This window comes from Homo sapiens, chromosome 18 (assembly GCF_000001405.40).
Source record: "Homo sapiens chromosome 18, GRCh38.p14 Primary Assembly".
Lineage (NCBI taxonomy): Eukaryota > Metazoa > Chordata > Mammalia > Primates > Hominidae > Homo > Homo sapiens.
Window position 1 is genome coordinate 11,688,809 of NC_000018.10, and position 19,500 is coordinate 11,708,308.

General features: G+C 45.9%; 1 protein-coding gene across 2 annotated transcripts in view, besides 4 other annotated features; it reads left to right on the plus strand.

The window, feature by feature from the left end:
* Positions 259 to 408: a silencer, noted in NCBI's record as "silent region_9300". NCBI's record gives its function as "represses an Ori minimal core promoter by ATAC-STARR-seq in GM12878 lymphoblastoid cells {active_cell/tissue: GM12878}" and the evidence as "EXISTENCE:reporter gene assay evidence [ECO:0000049][PMID:35858748]".
* Positions 259 to 847: a biological region, named in NCBI's record as "H3K27ac hESC enhancer GRCh37_chr18:11689154-11689654".
* Positions 347 to 847: an enhancer, noted in NCBI's record as "H3K27ac hESC enhancer chr18:11689154-11689654 (GRCh37/hg19 assembly coordinates)". NCBI's record gives its function as "activates a minimal SCP1, AML or CMV promoter by ChIP-STARR-seq in primed H9 embryonic stem cells {active_cell/tissue: H9 hESC(primed)}" and the evidence as "EXISTENCE:reporter gene assay evidence [ECO:0000049][PMID:30033119]".
* The window catches only part of GNAL (G protein subunit alpha L), a 196,422-nt gene continuing 177,377 nt past the window's right edge, over positions 456 to 19,500 (plus strand). For both annotated transcript variants that reach the window (NM_182978.4, XM_006722324.4), the window contains exon 1: positions 456 to 1,131. In NM_182978.4, the coding sequence (NP_892023.1) occupies positions 756 to 1,131 (376 nt within the window). In that variant the 5' untranslated portion in view covers positions 456 to 755. The remainder of the gene's footprint in view (positions 1,132 to 19,500) is intronic.
* Positions 7,938 to 8,439: an enhancer, noted in NCBI's record as "H3K4me1 hESC enhancer chr18:11696745-11697246 (GRCh37/hg19 assembly coordinates)". NCBI's record gives its function as "activates a minimal SCP1, AML or CMV promoter by ChIP-STARR-seq in naive H9 embryonic stem cells {active_cell/tissue: H9 hESC(naive)}" and the evidence as "EXISTENCE:reporter gene assay evidence [ECO:0000049][PMID:30033119]".

The window sequence follows — 19,500 nt, forward strand, 5'->3', positions numbered from 1 at the left end:
ATCAAAGGTATAGTACTATTAAAGTAGGGATAAAGAGTGTGCAGACGTGGGTGTAAGATAATGAACAGAAAAGGGAGTGGCAAGGTGCAGAGATCTCTGCAAGAAATGGATTGGGGAAATTGAAGGCTTTAAAGCCACGGTCTCTATTCCTACACCCAGCTTTCCGTCCTCGGTTACTATCGCCCAAGATCAAAGCCACCCTGGTTTTCTGATTGCCGCAACTGCGGCTCCAGGTGCTGAGTGCACAGCCACTGCGGCACTGTCCGCAGCTGCGCGCCGGGCTCAGACGGCATTATTTACGGTACAGAATACTCGCCCGCGCGACGGTATTTACGGTAACGGGGACCAGCCTGGGCGGCAGTATTTACGGTAACGAAAGCCAGCTGTATTTACGGTAGCGAGGGCTGGACCGGCGGCGGCATTTACGGTAACGGGGGCCGGGCTCGCGGAGGCCCGTCGGTTCGGTCCGCTCTGGGCGTTAGCAAGTGATCTCCAGCCAAGGCGGCCGCCACCCCTTGCACACAGCAGAAAATGCAAAATGACCCTCTGGGGCAGTGAGGGGCTGTGGCCCTCGGCCCCGGCCTGCCGCACCCCCTTCCCGCAGCTGGCGGCCGGCAGCGCCGAACAGGGTCCGGGTGCAGCCCCCTCCCGCCCCTCCGCTGAGGCGCCGGCCTGAACTGGGCGCGGGAACCAGGCCGCCCTCGGCGCCCAGCCTGCCCTAGTCCCGCGCGCCGCCCCCGCTGTGCCGCGCCCACATGGGTCTGTGCTACAGTCTGCGGCCGCTGCTTTTCGGGGGCCCAGGGGACGACCCCTGCGCGGCCTCGGAGCCGCCGGTGGAGGACGCGCAGCCCGCCCCGGCCCCGGCCCTGGCCCCAGTCCGGGCGGCCGCAAGGGACACGGCCCGGACCCTGCTCCCTCGGGGCGGCGAAGGGAGCCCGGCATGCGCTCGGCCCAAAGCAGACAAGCCGAAGGAGAAGCGGCAGCGCACCGAGCAGCTGAGTGCCGAGGAGCGCGAGGCGGCCAAGGAGCGCGAGGCGGTCAAGGAGGCGAGGAAAGTGAGCCGGGGCATCGACCGCATGCTGCGCGACCAGAAGCGCGACCTGCAGCAGACGCACCGGCTCCTGCTGCTCGGTAGGTCCCGGCCGCGAGGTCGGCTGACGCCCCGGGGACAGCGCGCCGGGCCCGCGGGGGCGGCGGGCACCGGGGAGCGGTGGCGGGCACCGGGGAGCGGCGGCGGGAGGGGCTCCTGAATCCCGGGACTGGACCCGGACGGGCGGCGGGCGCGGACGGGCTACAGAGCGTTTAAACTGTGGGTGGAATGGTTCCCCTGACCTAGCCGGGAGGACACTACGGGCTGATTCTGCCCCTCCCAGTGCCTTGAGCTTACTGCCGCTCGCTCTCTCTAATTAATGAGCCTCTCTGGGAAGTCTCCCCCTCGATTGATCACCTTCCACAGGGTCGAATCCCCGGGGATGTCTACCCTAGCCTCTCACTTCCTGCTACACGAGGAGGCTGGCAGTTTGTTTTAAGAACACAGATGAAAGGAGATTTATAAGGCCTTTTAGCTTGACCGCAAAGCTTTTATTCCAATCACAGTGTTGTGGGTGGGTGTGGCCTGCTGCCTTTTGAGAAAGAACTTGAGCTGCACTTGCATTTTTTTTTTATTATACTTTAAGTTTTAGGGTACATGTGCACAATGTGCAGGTTAGTTACATATGTATACATGTGCCATGCTGGTGTGCTGCACCCATTAACTCGTCATTTAGCATTAGGTATATCTCCTAAAGCTATCCCTCCCCCCTCCCCCCACCCCACAACAGTCCCCAGAGTGTGATGTTCCCCTTCCTGTGTCCATGTGTTCTCATTGTTCAATTCCCACCTATGAGTGAGAATATGCGGTGTTTGGTTTTTTGTTCTTCCGATAGTTTACTGAGAATGATGATTTCCAATTTCATCCATGTCCCTACAAAGGACATGAACTCATGATTTTTTATGGCTGCATAGTATTCCATGGTGTATATGTGCCACATTTTCTTAATCCAGTCTATCATTGTTGGACATTTGGGTTGGTTCCAAGTCTTTGCTAATGTGAATAGTGCTGCAATAAACGTACGTGTGCATGTGTCTTTATAGCAGCATGATTTATAGTCCTTTGGGTATATACCCAGTAATGGGATGGCTGGGTCAAATGGTATTTCTAGTTCTAGATCCCTGAGGAATCGCCACACTGACTTCCACAATGATTGAACTAGTTTACAGTCCCACCAACAGTGTAAAAGTGTTCCTATTTCTCCACATCCTCTCCAGCACCTGTTGTTTTCTGACTTTTTAATGATTGCCATTCTAACTGGTGTGAGATGGTATCTCATTGTGGTTTTGATTTGCATTTCTCTGATGGCCAGTGATGGTGAGCATTTTTTCATGTGTGTTTTGGCTGCATAAATGTCTTCTTTTGAGAAGTGTCTGTTCATGTCCTTTGCCCACTTTTTGATGGGGTTGTTTGTTTTTTTCTTGTAAATTTGTTTGAGTTCATTGTACATTCTGGATATTAGCCCTTTGTCAGATGAGTAGGTTGCGAAAATTTTCTCCCATTTTGTAGGTTGCCTGTTTACTCTGATGGTAGTTTCTTTTGCTGTGCAGAAGCTCTTTAGTTTAATTAGATCCCATTTGTCAATTTTGGCTTTTGTTGCCATTGCTTTTGGTGTTTTGGACATGAAGTCCTTGCCCATGCCTATGTCCTGAATGGTAATGCCTAGGTTTTCTTCTAGGGTTTTTATGGTTTTAGGTCTAACGTTTAAGTCTTTAATCCATCTTGAATTAATTTTTGTATAAGGTGTAAGGAAGGGATCCAGTTTCAGCTTTCTACATATGGCTAGCCAGTTTTCCCAGCATCATTTATTAAATAGGGAATCCTTTCCCCATTGCTTGTTTTTCTCAGGTTTCTCAAAGCACTTGCATTTTACTTTGGAAGCTCAACCCCAGCTCTGGGAGATTTGCTCCGCTTGAGAACCAGCTGCACGAAAGGGTGGCGGGCCGCAGTGTGCTCGCTGTGTAACTGCGTGCAGGAGGGTGGGTGCAGAATCCCAGCGTTTTCAAGGAACCAAATGCTTGCTCTCCTAGTAGTATTTTTCAGAGCTTAGCTATAGCAAATACGTGTGCTCCTACAACAATTAGAAAACATGGTTCTATGCACTCTACCGTAGAATGAAAAAAAAATCACGATTTCCTGATACTACTTGTTGCCTTTTAAATTTTAAGACAAAATAATAATAATTGGGCTTTTGATCGCAATTTTGTGAGGTGTAAGGAAGAATAGTTGTTCAGGTCTGTGCTCTCTGCTATGCATGGGAGAAGGAGCTATTCCATGACTTTAGCAAGATGCCCGCTTATAAATGAATGCAACTTTCATTTAAGATCTAGAATACAATAAATATTGAGTTTGAGAGGACTTGTCCACTGCAAGAATGAATAATTTAAAACAACATAAACCTAGCTGTTGTATCCTGTTGAAATATCTAATTTCTAAAGCAAAGGGAAATATTTTTGAAGAAACAACAACAACAACAAAAAACAGTAAACACTCAGGTTATCTCAACAGGGACGCGGGCTGAGCGGTAGCAGAGCTCTCCCCTCCAGTGCTCACCTCCAGAATATCGCAGAGCACACGTTTCCAGAGGTCTGAGGATACAGAAGTGTAACTTTAGAATTTCATACCTCGTTAAACCATTGTTGGTGTGTGAGGGTAAAATAAATCTTCGGATATGCAAGTACTCAAAGTATACCCTCATCCACATATTTTTCTGGAAGGAAACTTAAAAAAAAAATAGAGACACAGCGGTGGCTCACGCCTGTAATCCCAGCACTTTGAGAAGCTGGGGCTGGTGGATCACTTGATCTCAGGAGTTCAAGACCAGCCTGGGTAGCATAGTAAAACCCCATCTCTACAAAAAAATACGAAAATTAGCTGGGTGGTGCGCTGGAGACCCTGTCTCAAAAATGAATAAATAAACAAATAAAAGAATAGAGACAAGTCTCACTACGCTGGCCAGGCTGATCTCAAACTCCTGGCCTCAACTGACCCACCCACGTCAGCATCCTAAAGTGCTGGGATTACAGGCATGAGCCACCATGCTCTACCTGGAAAGACATTAATTGGAAATTACTTCAGCCAAAATTTTTAAAATGCATCAAATTAAAATAATTCAAAAAGGGGAGAATTTTTTTAAAGGGGGGAGAGTTGTCATCTCAAGAAACTGACAAAAAAAAATAAGACAAATAGGATCAGGAGTTGTGACAATATAGTGTTGTTTTGATGTGATTATACAGTTGAACATAATTTTAAAATAAAGGATATGAGAAGCAGAAAATGCTTTATATATAATAAAAGTTATTAGACTATGAATCTGTGAAAAACAAATGTGATGAGATATGGTCTGAAGAATAGAATGGTGAGCTCTAAAGAGTCAGCTTCTTGTAACACATTTGAAAGTACTCTTTGAAGACATCATCTCATAGCCTCATAGAGTTTATATATCAGCATCATATCTAAAATGACGTAAAATCAAATGACTCACTTTTCAGGGGGAGTGTATTGTATGTATCCTCCACCCAGTGATATCTACACTAAAACGCATACTGTTACATGAGGTTGACATTGTTTATCAATTTTATATAGATTTGAGTTAAACACACAAAGGTTCTTGATTTTATTAGGCTTTAAAATGGATTTAGCTGGAAATTTTTGAGTCAGAAATATGACTTATTGACCATTAATATCCTCAGATAATTACTTATGCTGCCATTGTGTTTAACAGCCATTTATTCTTGCTCACTGACCACATTCATTTGTTTATTCTGGAAATGTGCACCGAAAGCTGGGCATTGGGTTCAGAGACCTCAGACCCAGGGAAGGTGCACTTGCTCCAGCAGTGTCTTTTTTTTTTTTTTTTTTTAATCCCAACACTTTAGGATGCTGAGGTGGGCAGATCACTTGAGGCCAGAAGTTGAAGACCAGCCTGGGCAACATAGTAAGACTATGTCGCTATTTTTTTTTTTTTTTTTTTAGACAGGATCTCACTTTGTCACTCAGTCAGGAGTGCAGTGGTGTGATCATGGCTCACTGCAGCCTGGACCTCCCCAGCTCAAGCAATCTTCCTGCCTCAGCCCCACAAGTAGCTGGGACTACAGGTACATGCTACCATGGCTGACTAACTTTTGTATTTTATATAGAGATGGGGTTTCACCATGTTACCCCGGCTGGTCTTGGACTTCTGAGATCAAGTGATCCACCTGTCTTGGCCCACAGTGCTGGGATTACAGGTGTGAGCCATTGTGTCCAGTCAAGTGCCCTTTATCACTCCATGCCTGCTAGTGTGAGGTTAGTCCCGTCTCCCATCATGATGAGTCCTCAAGAAGACCTTCCCATAGTCCTCTAGTGGAAATAAAGGTTTAACTCCCTGTGTCCTGTGAATTCTTTGTGCTCCTCTCATGGAGCACTGGGGTACATTGCTCCATAGGTGTCTTGGTGCTCTTTCTCCCCCATGGGGTCGATCCTGATGACTCAGCTTTCTTTCCTGCACAGGACGTAGCACCCCACACAATCCTCTGGCAACAACACAAGAATCTGGGAGCCACTGTGACTATGAGGAGATATGCTCCCGTTTTAATTTTTAGATGGAGCATGGTTGAAGCATGCCGTGGCTGGATTTTAAGCAGGTGCAGAGGTGGGATGGAACTTTCCAGTTAGAAGGCAGTGGTCAAGACAAGGAATCATGGGGTCCAAACTAGGGCAGTGTGGTATAGTAGGAGTGGGGAGCTCACGGGCTTGGGGAGCAGGTCAGATGACTGGGTGCGGAGGGTAGGTAATGAGAGGAATTCTCAGATAACTCCCATGGTCTTGAGCATGAGGTATGTGTTAGTCAGCTTGCTTACCTACCAAAACACAACAGGCTGAATGACCAAAAACAGACGTTTATTTTCTCACAATTCTGGAGGTTGGAAGTCTAAGATCAAGGTGCCAGCAGGGTTGGTTTCTGGTGAGGGCTCCCTTCCTGGCTTGCAAACGGCCACGTTCTCACAGTATCCTCACATGGCCTTTCCTCTGTGTGCACACAAAAAGAGGGAGAGATCTCCGGTGTCTCTTCCTCTTCTTACGAGGACACTGCGGGATTAGGGCCCCACCTTACGGCCTCATCTTACCTTAATTACCTACTTAAGGGCCCTATGTCCAAATACAGTCATGTGGGGGGTTAGGGCTTCAACATATGAATTCAGGGGGATGGGAAGCACAATTCAGTCCATAACAAGGGCTAAGGCGGGGAGTGCGTGCCCTGTCTAAAAGGGACAGCTGCATCCTAGCTTCATCCCACTGTTGCTTTGTGAGAACACAGGCCCAAAGTTGCCAGGTCTTCGGAATTTCTGAAACCTACCTATTTTTAAGCATTTGCTCAAATTAATAAAATGTAATCTACATGGCTAATACAATCACGGGCTGCTGGCTCTTACCGCTGATCTAACCTGGGTCACACAGACTTTTCTGCAGGCTGTGCACTAGGCTTTCGGGGCTCACGCACATGAGAGACCATTGGCAGAGGCCCTGGGTCTACACCAATTAAAAGCATACTTGATGTGAATTGGTGTGAATCAAAATATTTAATCTGCCAAATGAACACATATAGCAAACAAAGCTGTGTTCACCATTCTTCAGGTGAATTTTTCTGCTATTGAGTCCATGGAGTTGTAACAGAGTCAATGCCATTGATTTTTCTTCATCTTTCATTGACTGTGTTCACTACCTTCCTGCTGGGGAAGGGTTATCATGTTCCACTCAACTACTCTTTTAATATGATTCTTTTCCTGGATTGTTATTCGAATTTTAAATCCTCAGCTGTAGATAGGATTTGTCTTTTTTCCTTTTTTCAATTATTTCTTGTTATAGTTTATGTATTTGCTATTTCTCTGTCTGGAATACATCTTTCAAGAAGGAAGCAATCTCTTTGGGACATTTGCTGGCTTTCTTTTGTATCAAAATGCTGGCATGATTTTAATCTGTGTCTTTAGTTACTGTCAGAGGAAGTGCCTGGTGCACACATGCTCAGACATGCATGCACGCATGCACACACACACACACACACACACACACACAAAGGAAAAAAAACAGAAGGAATGTTCTCCACTCTGGGATTTTGATGACTTTTTTCCCAAGTAAATGTCTTTCTTAATGAAGGCAGAAGTGACCAAGGAAAGACAATAGTTTTGGAGTTGTGCAGTGGCCTTGGGCATATCCTTATTAACTTGCTGTCTTCGTTTTTTGCCACAGCCTCCTGTGGCACCGTGGCTTTCAAAGTCAGAAGAAATCCCAGTACTCTGGCTATTCCTTATGTTTCTGAACTCACAAAAGCATAACACATCCTGGCCGAGCGCGGTGGCTCACCTCTGTAATCCCAGCACTTTGGGAGGCCGAGGCGGGTGGATCATGAGGTCAGGAGCTCGAGACCATCCTGGCTAACATGGTGAAACCCCGTCTCTACTAAAAATACAAAAAAAAATTAGCCAGGCATGGTGGCGGGCACCTGTAGTCCCAGCTACTCGGGAGGCTGAGGCAGGAGAATGGCGTGAACCCGGAAGGCAGAGCTTGCAGTGAGCCGAGATCATGCCACTGCACTTAAGCTTGGGCGACTGAGCAAGACTCCGCCTCAAAAAAAAAAAAAAGCACGCATAACACATCCTTACAGCCTTAAAGAGAATGCAGTGATGTTGCATTTAAGTCAAAACTTTTATGTGGTATAACTTGTTATAGACCGTTACAGCAATGATACTAAAATTTTATAGGCTGGAAACTGCCGTTGTTTACATGAAGCCTAATTTCATCCCAGGGATTTATCTTGTTCTTTCACTTGGCAAAAGACCAGAAGTTCAGAACACTCTGTCAAAAATGCTCTCTTGGACTTGTCAACCCTCTCGTGTTTATTCACATGATTAATACTGGCCCTGAAAACAGGTAGTTTTGTCACTGGAATATATGACCATTTTATGAACACTTCCTTCAAAATTTGGGGGTATCCTGTGACCCACTAAAAGATGCAGAGGGGCGTATGTGATGGTTAGAGCACAGCACTGGAGTCAGACCTTGTCCGAGGCCCTTAGCACCGCCATCCTCCAGTTGCACAAACTTAAGTACACCCCCCAGTGCTTCAGTTTCCATCTCAATGATAATCCTAATCCCACTGGCTTATTGACAGGAGTAAATGAAATTAATTGAAATAATGTATGTAAATTCACATAATGAGATCGCACATCCTAGCAAAGGGCAGCCAGCCCCAGGTGAACACAGCCCTCTGTGACTGAGCCAGGATCAAGCCCAGGCAGGCTGGCTTCGCCAAACATTAGCCAGTGACTGTGAGGCCAGCTGGAGGCAGCTGCAACAGCCCAGTCAAGAGATGTGAGGAGGCCGGGCACGGTGGTGCACGCCTGTAATCCCAGCGCTTTGGGAGGCTGAGGTGGGCAGGTCACCTGAGGTCAGGAGTTCGAGACCAGCCTGGCCAACATGGTGAAACCCCATCTCTACTAAAAATACAAAAATTAGCTGGTTACCAGCTAACTTTTAATTAGCTGGTGGTGGGTGCCTGTAATCCCAGCTTCTCAGGAGGCTAAGGTGGGAGTATCACTTGAACCTGGGAGGCGGAGTTTGTAGTGGGTTGAGATCGTGCCATTGCACTCCAGCATGGGGGAGAGAGCAAGACTCAGTCTCAGAAAAAAAAAAGAGAGAGAGAGATGTGAGGAGGCGACCTCATTCAGATGCGGTGACAATGACAGGAAGGGGCAGACGTGTCTGTGGGTGTGGGCAAAACGGAATCCCGGGAACCTGGTGACTGATGAGATGGAGGGAAAGAAGAGCATCTGGGTGAAGAAATGTCACTGAACCCTTCAGTAAAATGGCAAGGACATTCTCCGAGTAAGGAATTTAAGAAGAAGAGGCAGTTGGAGGGAGAAGAGAACAGTGAGCTCCGGTCTAGATGTGTTGAGACTGAAGGGCCTTGGATGTCCAGCGGGCAGTGGCTGGAGAGCAGCTGGGCATTTGCCTTGGGTCTCAGAGAGGCTGCAGAGCCAGAGATGGATGTGTCACCCAGAGTCATTAGTGCACTGGCCAGGTTGGACATGCCACCTGGGGACCACATGCCACCCGGAGAGGACATGCCACCTAGGGAGGACGTGCAGAGTGAGAAAGGAAGGGAGGAGGGCCCAGGATAGGAGGCCGTGGGACTCCAGCCTTTCAAAAAGGGCTGGAGGAAGAAGAGCGTGAAGAATGACAGAGGGCTGGGAGCAGCCAAGAAAGGAAGAGGTTTCTGGAGGAAGGCAGTGGCCAGCAGTGTCACTTGGGAGCTCAGGGATAAAGAGGGCTGAGGCTGGGCGCGGTGGCTCATGCCTGTAATTCCAGCACTTTGGGAGGCCGAGGCGGGTGGATCATGAGGTCAAGAGATCAAGATCATCCTGGCCAACACGGTAAAACCTCGCCTCTACTAAAAATGCAAAAATTAACTGGGCGTGGTGGTGCACGCCTGTGATCCCAGCTACTTGGGAGGCTGAGGCAGGAGAATCGCTTGAACCCAGGAGGCAGAGGTTGCAGTGAGCCAAGATTGCACCACTACACTCCATCCTGGGAGACAGAACAAGACTCTGTCTCAAAAAAAAAAAAAAAAAATAGAGGGCTGAGAAGGAACCCACTGGGTGTGCAGGTTCATGGCCTGGTGGGTGCAGGAGGCTTCAGATTGGAAGGGACAGGAAGACACTGAAGCAGTGACGGTGGCTGCTCTTGGGAGGACTTTGCTGCTGGAGGACAGAACAGGTGTGCCCACTCCTGCACCTTGTGCCATCCAGGAAACAGCTGGGGTGATGACGGATGAGACTGGAATGGTGGGTGCTCCTGGGGATGAAGAGAAGAGGGCAGGAGAGGAATTGTCAATCTTTGTTTGACCCTTGCTGTGCATCCGCTTTCTAAACATTCAGGTGCCTGGACTCAACCTCAGCTCCTCCAGCACAAGTGACTTTCCCTGTTGACAGTGTCAGACTAATGTGTCATTTAGAGGGAAATTCTTTAATGGCAAGCAGGTTTTTCAGTTGAGTTGAGACCAAGAGACCTAGCTAATTTTCGGGTATCTAGCTAATTTAATTTGTCTATGAAAAGTTTCCAAAGATTAACATTTTCAAAGGTAAGACCTAACTCCAAGGGCCCAAAATCACTTCATGATATTGAAAGTGATAATCAGAAGATCTCCAAAACCTCACTGCATAAATCCGAATAAGGAGCCCTAGATGATTATTTCTCACCTGACAGCACCCAGGATAATTTACTTTGAGTCTACATTTATCTATTTATTTTTAATTTTATTTATTTATTTATTTACTTAGAGACAGAGTCTCTCTCTGTTGCCTAGGCTGGAGCAGTAGTACCATCTTGGCTCACTGCAACTTCCACCTCCTAGGTTCAAGCGATTCTCTTGCCTCAGCCTCCCAAGTAGCTAGGACCACAGGCACCCACCACCACACCTGGCTAATTTTTGGGGTTTTTTTTTTATTTTTGTATTTTTAGTAGAGACAGGGTTTTACCATGTTGGACAGGCTGGTCTCAAAGTCCTGACCTCTGGGGATCCACCTGCCTCAGCCTCCTAAAGTTCTGGGATTACAGGCGTGAGCCACCGTGCCCAGCTGGGTCTAAATTTATTAATACTTAGTTGTTGGGTTTTTTTTTTGAGGGGGGGGGTTGGCTTTAAGCTGAAACCAACCCTTTTACTGAAAAACAGAAAATTACCTTCTATCAGCTAAAGCAGTGACTCTTAAGTGTGTTTCGGGGTCAAGTGAAAACTGTTCCCTGTTGTTTCAGAATTCCCTCGCTAGGGATGGACAGACAGCGCACAGAGGACTTTTAGGGCAGGGAAACCGCTCCCTATGATACCATATGAGTGGACAATGTCACCACATACTTGTCCAACCCACAGAATATACAACGCCAAGAGGGAACCCTAGTGTAGCCCTTCCAGCGCTGTGGACTCTGGGTGACAGTCATGCGTCAGGGTAGCTTCATGGATTGCCGTACTCTATGAGGGATGTTGCTGGTGGGGAGGCTGTGCCTGTCGGGGCAGGGAGTACATGGCAGCTGTATTCTGTACCATCCTCTCAATTTTGCTGTGAACCTAAAACTGCTCTAAATAATAGGCTTCTTGTTTTAGTCACTTACTAAGAAAAGAAGTCAGTGAAAGATTTTGTCCTTGAATTAGGATCCCAAGAGGAGGAGCTGGTGGAGAAGAAGAGGACAGACACCACAGTGGCCATAGCAGAAGGGTCGAGGGTTCTTCTAATGAGCCCGTTTAGGGGCCATAAGCTGATGGCCCTACTCTTAAAAAGCCCAGGTCAGTTAACCGCAGCAGGAAAGATAGCGGCCCATTATTGAAAGCTGTGGTTTATGAATAAAAAAGCATCATTTAAAGACTTTTCCAACTGCAGTTCTGGGGTTAAATTATTCTCAGCAAATAAAGCCCTCTAGACATGCATTGAAGTGTTAGCACCTGACGGGAGGGGCACACACACACTGCTCCTGCAGGCCGTTTGGCTTGGCTTGGCCAGGCCATGTGTCCCATCCTGTAAGGCTGCCCTAGCTCTGCCTCATCAGGAGGAATCACAGGATTGTTGCCCAGCTGTTATTAGGTGTTACACCAAATGCCACTGAAGGCACGAGTTAGGGAAGCCACCCATCAAAATCTTCAAGGGTTAGACAGCTCTCTTCAACCCTTCCTGCTGTTATTTCATTTGCCGATCTGGGAAAATGTTATTTAGTGAGAGGCAGGTCAACCTGCCGACTGATGGAGGATCGAGGAAGACAGCAAACACACTGTGGCATCTGCTTTCTCTAATCCTAGCAGAAGAGCCTTGGAGAAGATGTAGGTTGCATCACTGTGCTTTGGATTAATGCTCACTTGGTGTGTTCTTCTGTAGTTGAAAAGTGAATTTTCTTTCTGAATAAGTGAACTTCTCCCAGAAAAAGCATAAGAAGACAATATTTTGACATAAACAGAAAAATAAGGCGCAATGATACCCATTCTTTGAGTCACAAGGGAAAAGGCCATTTTATTCATTGAATCCCTTATATTACTCACCAACTGCAAACATTTGCATCTCTCAGGAGCCCGCTCTGTGCCAGGTGCTTCTCTGGGTGATGTGGAGATTCCACAAGGCAGAGAGCACAGCCTCAGCCCTGGAAAAGTTCACTGTGTTGTTGAAGAGAAAGGACAAGAACCTAAGAGAAAAATACCAGTCCGAGCCTGCACGTGCTCGGAGATAAATGGCAACAGTGTGGGTCAAGAACATGATTCCAGGGATTCACGTGGAACCTCTCAGTAACATGATGGGCATCCCCCTTCCTTAGGATATTTTATGAGTGGGGAGGTACAGGGGAGGTAGGAACTTGATTGTTTAATGTCAATGTTTGTACACAAATGCATAATGCTGGCCAGGCGCGGTGGCTCACACCTGTAATCCTAACACTTTGAGAGGCCGAGGCGGGTGGATTGCTTGAGGTCATGAGTTCGAGACCAGCCTGGCCAACATGGTGAAACCCCATCTCTACTAAAAATACAAAAATTAGCCAGACGTTGTGGCGGGTACCTATAATCCCAGCTACTCGGGAGGCTGAGGCAGGAAGTTGCAATGAGCCAAGAGTGCGTCGTTCCACTCCAGCCTGGGTGACAGAGCAAGAATCTCAAAAAAAAAAAAAAAAAAAAGCATAATGCTGTTATTGATCCTGGGTGCAAACTATGAGCAGAAGCAGCTGTGAAATCTGCTCCAAGTTTGCACCTGGCAGCTGGTTTCCTGTTCATCAAGGAGCTGCTGAAAGAACCCAGAAGCACCCACAGCTCCCAGAATGTAGCAGCAACCTGGAGTGTTTACCTAATAGAACTGATGCTTCAAGAAGATGAAGAAAGTTTGAGCAACAGTGTGCAGTGTTATCAAACGGGAAGGAGACTGCTCCTTTTATCTCCAGCCATCAAAGTGCTCCACAAGTCAATATTAGGAGCTGCATTTTGTAGATTGCACCATGATGGGAAGGTGGAGATTGTCTGTAAATCGGCATAAAGAAAAAAAAAATGAAACGTTTATCCTTTTTTTACCCAAGAAATCCACTCATTAGAGAATCACTGAAAGGAAGGTGGATAAAAAGCCACAAAAGGGAACCTTTGACTTGGCTGCAGAGCAGCATTTGTGTTTTACAGGTACTTCGGGAGCATCTAGAGGGCGTGATTTGGAGTCTGCTAGCCAGGAGGCCACAGGAGAAACACAGGTCAGCCCCAGAATCATGGAGCACACATTTGCCTCGACCCCAGCTGTATTTTCTTTTCTGGGAAAATATCAGCCCCTGGAATTAGGCCAGACACAGGAATCTGTAGATACAAAGCTCGCTAGCAGAGCAAGACTCAGAACGCAAGAGTGGCACCAGGGAGGAATCAGGACCGAGCAAGAGGCGAGTGCTGATCCCAGAGCCGGCCTCCTTCTTCCCTGTCACCCTCAGAGGGTGGTGTAAATGAACCACAAGCCCACAGCTGTCCTGGTGAGGAAGCGCAGAACAAGGCCCAAGCCAGCATACCCCAGAGAGTTAGACTGAGCCACAGATCAATCAGCTGTTTGATTTGTAGAGCAGCTTGTCTATTGAGAAGGACGTCAGTGCTGTGTTACAGGCTACTATTTGTTTATTCAGTAGCAATTACTGACATTCAGTAGCACGTCTACCACGTCCCAGGTTCTGTCAGGCTTCAGTCTACAAACTGGAGCTGTCTCAGGAGCTGTTCTGTGTGCTCAGGAGCTTATGACCCTGTGCGGGAGACAAAGGTATCAACCAGCCATTGCAGCACAGCATAAAATACATCCATGCAGGTACAGAAGACAGTGGGAGCAGCTCTTGCCCCAGTGAGAAGGGAGGCAGGACTGAGGAGGAGGGCAGCAGCTTCCAAGAACCTTCCCACTTAAAAAAAAAAAAAAATAGCCCGGTGCGATGGCTCACTCCTGCAATCCCAACACTTTGGGAGGCTGAGGCGGGTAGATCACATGAGGTCAGGAGTTCCAGACCAGCCTGGTCAGCATGGCAAAACCCCATCTCTGCTAAAATTACAAAAATTAGATGGGCATGGTGGCACGAGCCTGTAATCCCAGCTAGTCGGGAAGCTGAGGCAGGAGAATGACTTGAACCTGGGAGCCAGAGGTTGCAGTGAGCAGAGATTGCGCCACTGCACTCCAGCCTGGGCGACAGAGCAAGACTCCGTCTCAAAAACAAAACAAACAAACAAAAAAACCATATTTGTAGAGTATATTTCTGTTCTTAAAATCGACAAGTTTGAGAAACCCCTCGTTTTGAGAGGCTCATTGGAAAGCAGCAGATGCCACGCAGAGCAAATGAAAAACAGAACGCTCCGCACGTTGTGCATAGTTTTATCGAAACTCCTGCATCTGCTTTAAGTCTGTTTAGTTGAAAATCCATTTAGAATATGCTCTAATTGATATATGTGACCTATAAGGAAGTGTCCCTCTTTTTTAAGAAAATATAGAAACGTGTTATTTGTTATAGGTTTTCATTGTACAAAGAAATTCAATGTGCTGAAAAGAACCAATAAAATACGGATAAAGTAGTGCCAATTAAGAAACAGTTATGTGACTCTTTATCTCTGAAATTGTTTTAACTGGTACTTTGTTTTAGAATTGCTTTTTAATGTAACAGCCTTCTGAACATCAGCTATTTGATAAGCGCTGCGTGGAACTAAAAAGCATGCCGAGCTGTGGTTGATCCAGTGGACTTCGCTGTGCCTCATGGAGGACGATACTTAACTTTCAGATCCATTTCCGTTTTTTGCTCTAATGACATTTTCTCAGAAGTAATGCTCTCCACCCTTGGGCTTGGGTACAATAATGAGCTTGGAACAGGGGATAGGAGGCCCAGTGTTGATGGGCACACACACACACACACACACACACACACACACACACACAGTGAAGTGCAGGAAGCTCTGTGGCCATGTCAACCCTTGCTGACTGGGGACAGATGGAGGCAGGCTGCACCCTAGTCTGTGGCCTCAGAAGAAAAGCATCTTAGTTCTGCTGGTGGTGTTCAGCCTCAGCCTTTCCCTTCACCTAAATTCCTACAGGTTATCCTAACTTCAAATAGGATAAATTAATTTTAATTATGTATACAGAATGTTCGTTTAGGAACACAGAGGATGGATTTCTAGAGTAATCTCAAAATCCTGTTATTCAACCCACAATACAAAGGAAGCAGCATTGGTGTTCTTCCGTGGAGCCTGAACATCATGGGTCCCACAGTGAGTCACAGCCTTCTGCACTCCCTGATCACACAGTGGGTCACACCCTAGACCCGTGGGTCATACCACGGAACACATCGTGGATCCCACATATGGATTATACCCTAGGACACAGCCTGGATCACACAGTGTATTTGGAATTAGAGATTGGAATGCCAGAAACAGCCACACAGTCACCCTGGCCTCCAGAGCAGGCCTTCCACTGAACCCTTTGCTGTGGCTTCACTATGCCCTGAGCAGTCCAAGGCACAACTAATGGCCCAGGGTCTTCCGGCTGAAAGTGGGAATAGTGAGGAATGGGCCTAGGGTGATCAGTGAGCAGTAATGATAAGTACCCCCATCTGTAATATGTGCCTCAACTCCTGCTAACCCACAGGTACAGAGGGAGAGGAGCTCAGCTATCTGGCCCACTTCTGGGCTCCCTCCCCAGTTTCCAGACCCAGCCACGCAGCCTACTCTGGGGTCTTTGGACTCCGTCTCTTACATTTTTGTCTCCTTTCTTCCTTAATATCAGTATTTTCTTTTAGTTTCTCCTTATCAAAGCTTGCTCATACCCAGAACATTTTACTCGTTCCTGTGAAATTATTAATGGAGGTGAAAGTTAAGTCCATTATCAATTTTTTTTTAATTTAACAGCTTTTTTTGAGATATAGTTGAAATGCATACAGAAAACAGCACATATTTAAAGTGTGCAGTTTGGTTAGTTTTGACATGTGTATACACCTGAGAGCATATCCATCACCTCTGAAAGTTTCCTCCTGCATCTTTGAGTTGATTTCCTTATTTTATCATGGTAAGAACACTTCACACGAGATCTACCCTATTAAAAAGTTTTTAAGTGTACAATACCGTACTCTTCTATATGGGGACAACGTTGTACAGCAGAGCTCTACAACTTAATCATCTTGCATGTCTGAAATGTTTTACTCCTTGAATAGCAACTCTCCACTTCCCTCTCCCCCAAACCCTAGAAACAACCGTGCTACTCTTTGCTTCTGTGAGTTTGACTATTACAAGTCCTCATATAAATGGAATCATGCAGTATTTCTCCTTCTGTGACTGGCTTAACTCAGCATTCCCTCCAGGTTCATCCATGTTGTTGCATCTGGCTGCATTCCCTTCTTTTCTTTTTTAAGGTTGAATAATATTCCATTGTATGTATGTTCCACATTTTCTTTCTTCATTCATCTTCCAGTGGACATTTAGGCTGCTTCAGTATCTTGGCTATTGCAAAAATTGCTGCAGCAAACGTAAGAGTGCAGCTATCTCCTGGAGATTCTGATTTCAGTTCTTTTGAATATATACCCAGAAGTGGGATGGCTGGATTTTATGGTAATTCTATATTTTGATTTTTTAAAGGAATTTCCTACTGTTTTCCATAGCAGCTGTACCATTTTAATTCCCACCAGCAGCGTACAAGGGTTTCAGTTTCTCTGCATCTTTGCCGACACTTGCTAACTTTTGTCTTTTTGATAATGGCCATCCTAACAGGTGTGAGGTGATATGTCATTATGGTTTTGATTTGCCATTTTCCTCATGATTAATAACATTGAGCTTTTCATATACCTGCTGGACATTTCTATGTCTTTTTTTTTTTTTTTTTTTTTCTGAGACAGAGCCTCGCTCTGTCACCCAGGCTGGATTGCAGTGGCACGATTTCGGCTCACTGCAACCTTCGCCTCCCAGGTCCAGGCGATTCCCCTGCCTTAGCCTCCTGAGTGGCTGGGATTACAGGCTCCTGCCAGCATGCCTGGGAAAATTTTGTATTTTAGTAGAAGCAGGGTTTCACTATGTTGGCCAGGCTGGTCTTGAACTCCTGACTTCAAGTGATCTGCCCACCTCGGCCTTTCAAAGTGCTGGGATTACAGTGTATGTCTTCTTTAAGAAGACATGTCATTAGCCCATTTTTTAATCCGGATATTTGCTATTTTTTGTTTTGTTTTGTTTTTTTGCTGTTGAGTTGTAGGAGCTCTTTATATATTTCAGAGATTAACCCCTTATCAGATATAAGCATATCTCAGAGATATTGCAGGTTCAGTTCCAAACCACCCCAATAAAGTTAATATAGAAAGAAAGTCACATGAATTTTTTTCTCGGTGCATATAAAAGTTGTGTTTATACTATACTATATCTATTAAATGTGCAATCACATCATGTCTTAAAAAAAAGCACACCTTAATTTAAAAATATTGATAAAAAGTGCTAACGATCATCTGAGCCTTCAGTGAGTCCGGATCTCTTTGCTGGTGGAAGGTCTTGCCTCGATATCTGTGGCTGCTGACTGATCAGGGCGGTTGTTGCTGAAGACAGTTTCTTAGAGTAAGACAGCAATGAAGTTGATCACATCGGTTAACTCTTTCTTTCATGAAAGATTTATCTGCAGCATGTGATGCTTTTGATAGCATTCTACTCATCGTAGAACTTTCAAAATTGGGGTCAGTCCTCTCAAACATGCTGCTTTATCAGCTACATTTATGGAATATTCTAAATCCTTTGTAATAGTTTCAACAATGTTCACAGCATCTTCACCAGGAGAACATTGCATCTAAAGAAACCTCTTTCTTTGCTCATTCATAAGAAGCAACTCCTCACCCATTAACATTGTATCCTGAGATTGCAGCCATTTAGTCACATCTTCGGGCTCCACTTTTAATTCTAGTTCTCTTGCTATTTCTACCACATCTCCAGTTACTTCCTTTACTAAAGTCTTGAATCCCTCAAAGCAATCCATGAGGGTTGCAATCAACTTCTTCCAAATTCCTGTTCATGTTGCTATTTTGACCTCCTCCAATGAATCATGGGTGCTCATAATGGCATCTAGAATTGTGAATTGTTGCCAGGTTTGTTGACATTGTTGTTTTGAGACAGGGTCTCACTCTGTCACCCAGGCTGGAGTGTGGTGGCATGATCATGACTCACTGCAGCCTCAACCTCCCAGGCTCAAGTGATTATCCTGCCTCAGCCTCCCAAGTAACTGAGACTACAGGCATGTGCCACCATGCTTGGCTAATCCAGAAGGCTTCTAATTTACTTTGCTTAGGTCCATTAGAGCAATCGCTGTCTATGGCACTTATAGCGCTATGAAACATATTTCTGAAATAATAAGACTGCAAAGTAAAAATTACTGCTTGATCCATGGGCTGAAGAATGGATGTTATGTTAACAGGCATGAAAACAATATTAATCTCCTTGTACATCTCCATCAGAGCTCTTGGGTTACCGGGTGCACAGTAAATGAGCAGTAATAATTTGAAAGCAATCTTTTTTTCCGAGCAATACGTCCCAACAGATGGCTTAAAATATTCAGTAAACCATGATGTAAACAGATGTACTGTCATCCAGGCTCTGTTTTTCCACTGATAGAGCACAAGCAAAGCAAATTTAGCCTAATTCTGGAGGGCCCTAGGATTTTCAGAATGGTAAATGAGCATTGATTTCAACTTAAAGTTACCAGTTGCATTAGCACCTAACAAGAAGTCAGCCTGTCCTTTGAAGCTGTGGAGCCAGGGATTGACTTTTCCTCTTTACTTATGAAAGTCCTAGGTGGCATTTTCTTCCCACAGAAGGCTGTTCCACCTCCATTGAAGGCTGTTGTTTAGTGTAGCCACTTCTCATCAGTGATCTTAGCTAGATCTTCTGGTTAACTTTCTATATTAGCATTTGCTGCCTTACCTTGTACTTGTATGTTATGGAGACAACTGTTTTCCTTAGACCTCATGAATCAACCTCTGCTAGCTTCCAGCTTTTCTTCTGCAGCTTCCTCGCCTCTCTCAACCTTCCTAGAATTGAAAAGTTAGGGCCTTGTTCCAACTTAGGCTTTGGCTTCGGGGAATGCTGTGGCTGTTTTAATCTTCTATCCAGACCACTCAAACTTTTTTCATTTCAGCAATGTGGCTATTTCACTTTCTCGTTAGTGTGTTCACTGGAGTAGCACTTTTAATTTCCTTCAAGAAGTCTCTCTTGGCATTCACAACTTGGCTGTTTGGCACAAGAGACCCAACTTTTGGCCTGTCTTGGCTTTTGACATGCCTTCCTCAGTAAGCTTAATCATTTCTAGCTTTGGATTTAAAGTGAGACAGTCTTCATTTGAACACTTAGAGGCTATTGTAGGATTATTAAATGGCCCTAATTTCAATACTGTTAT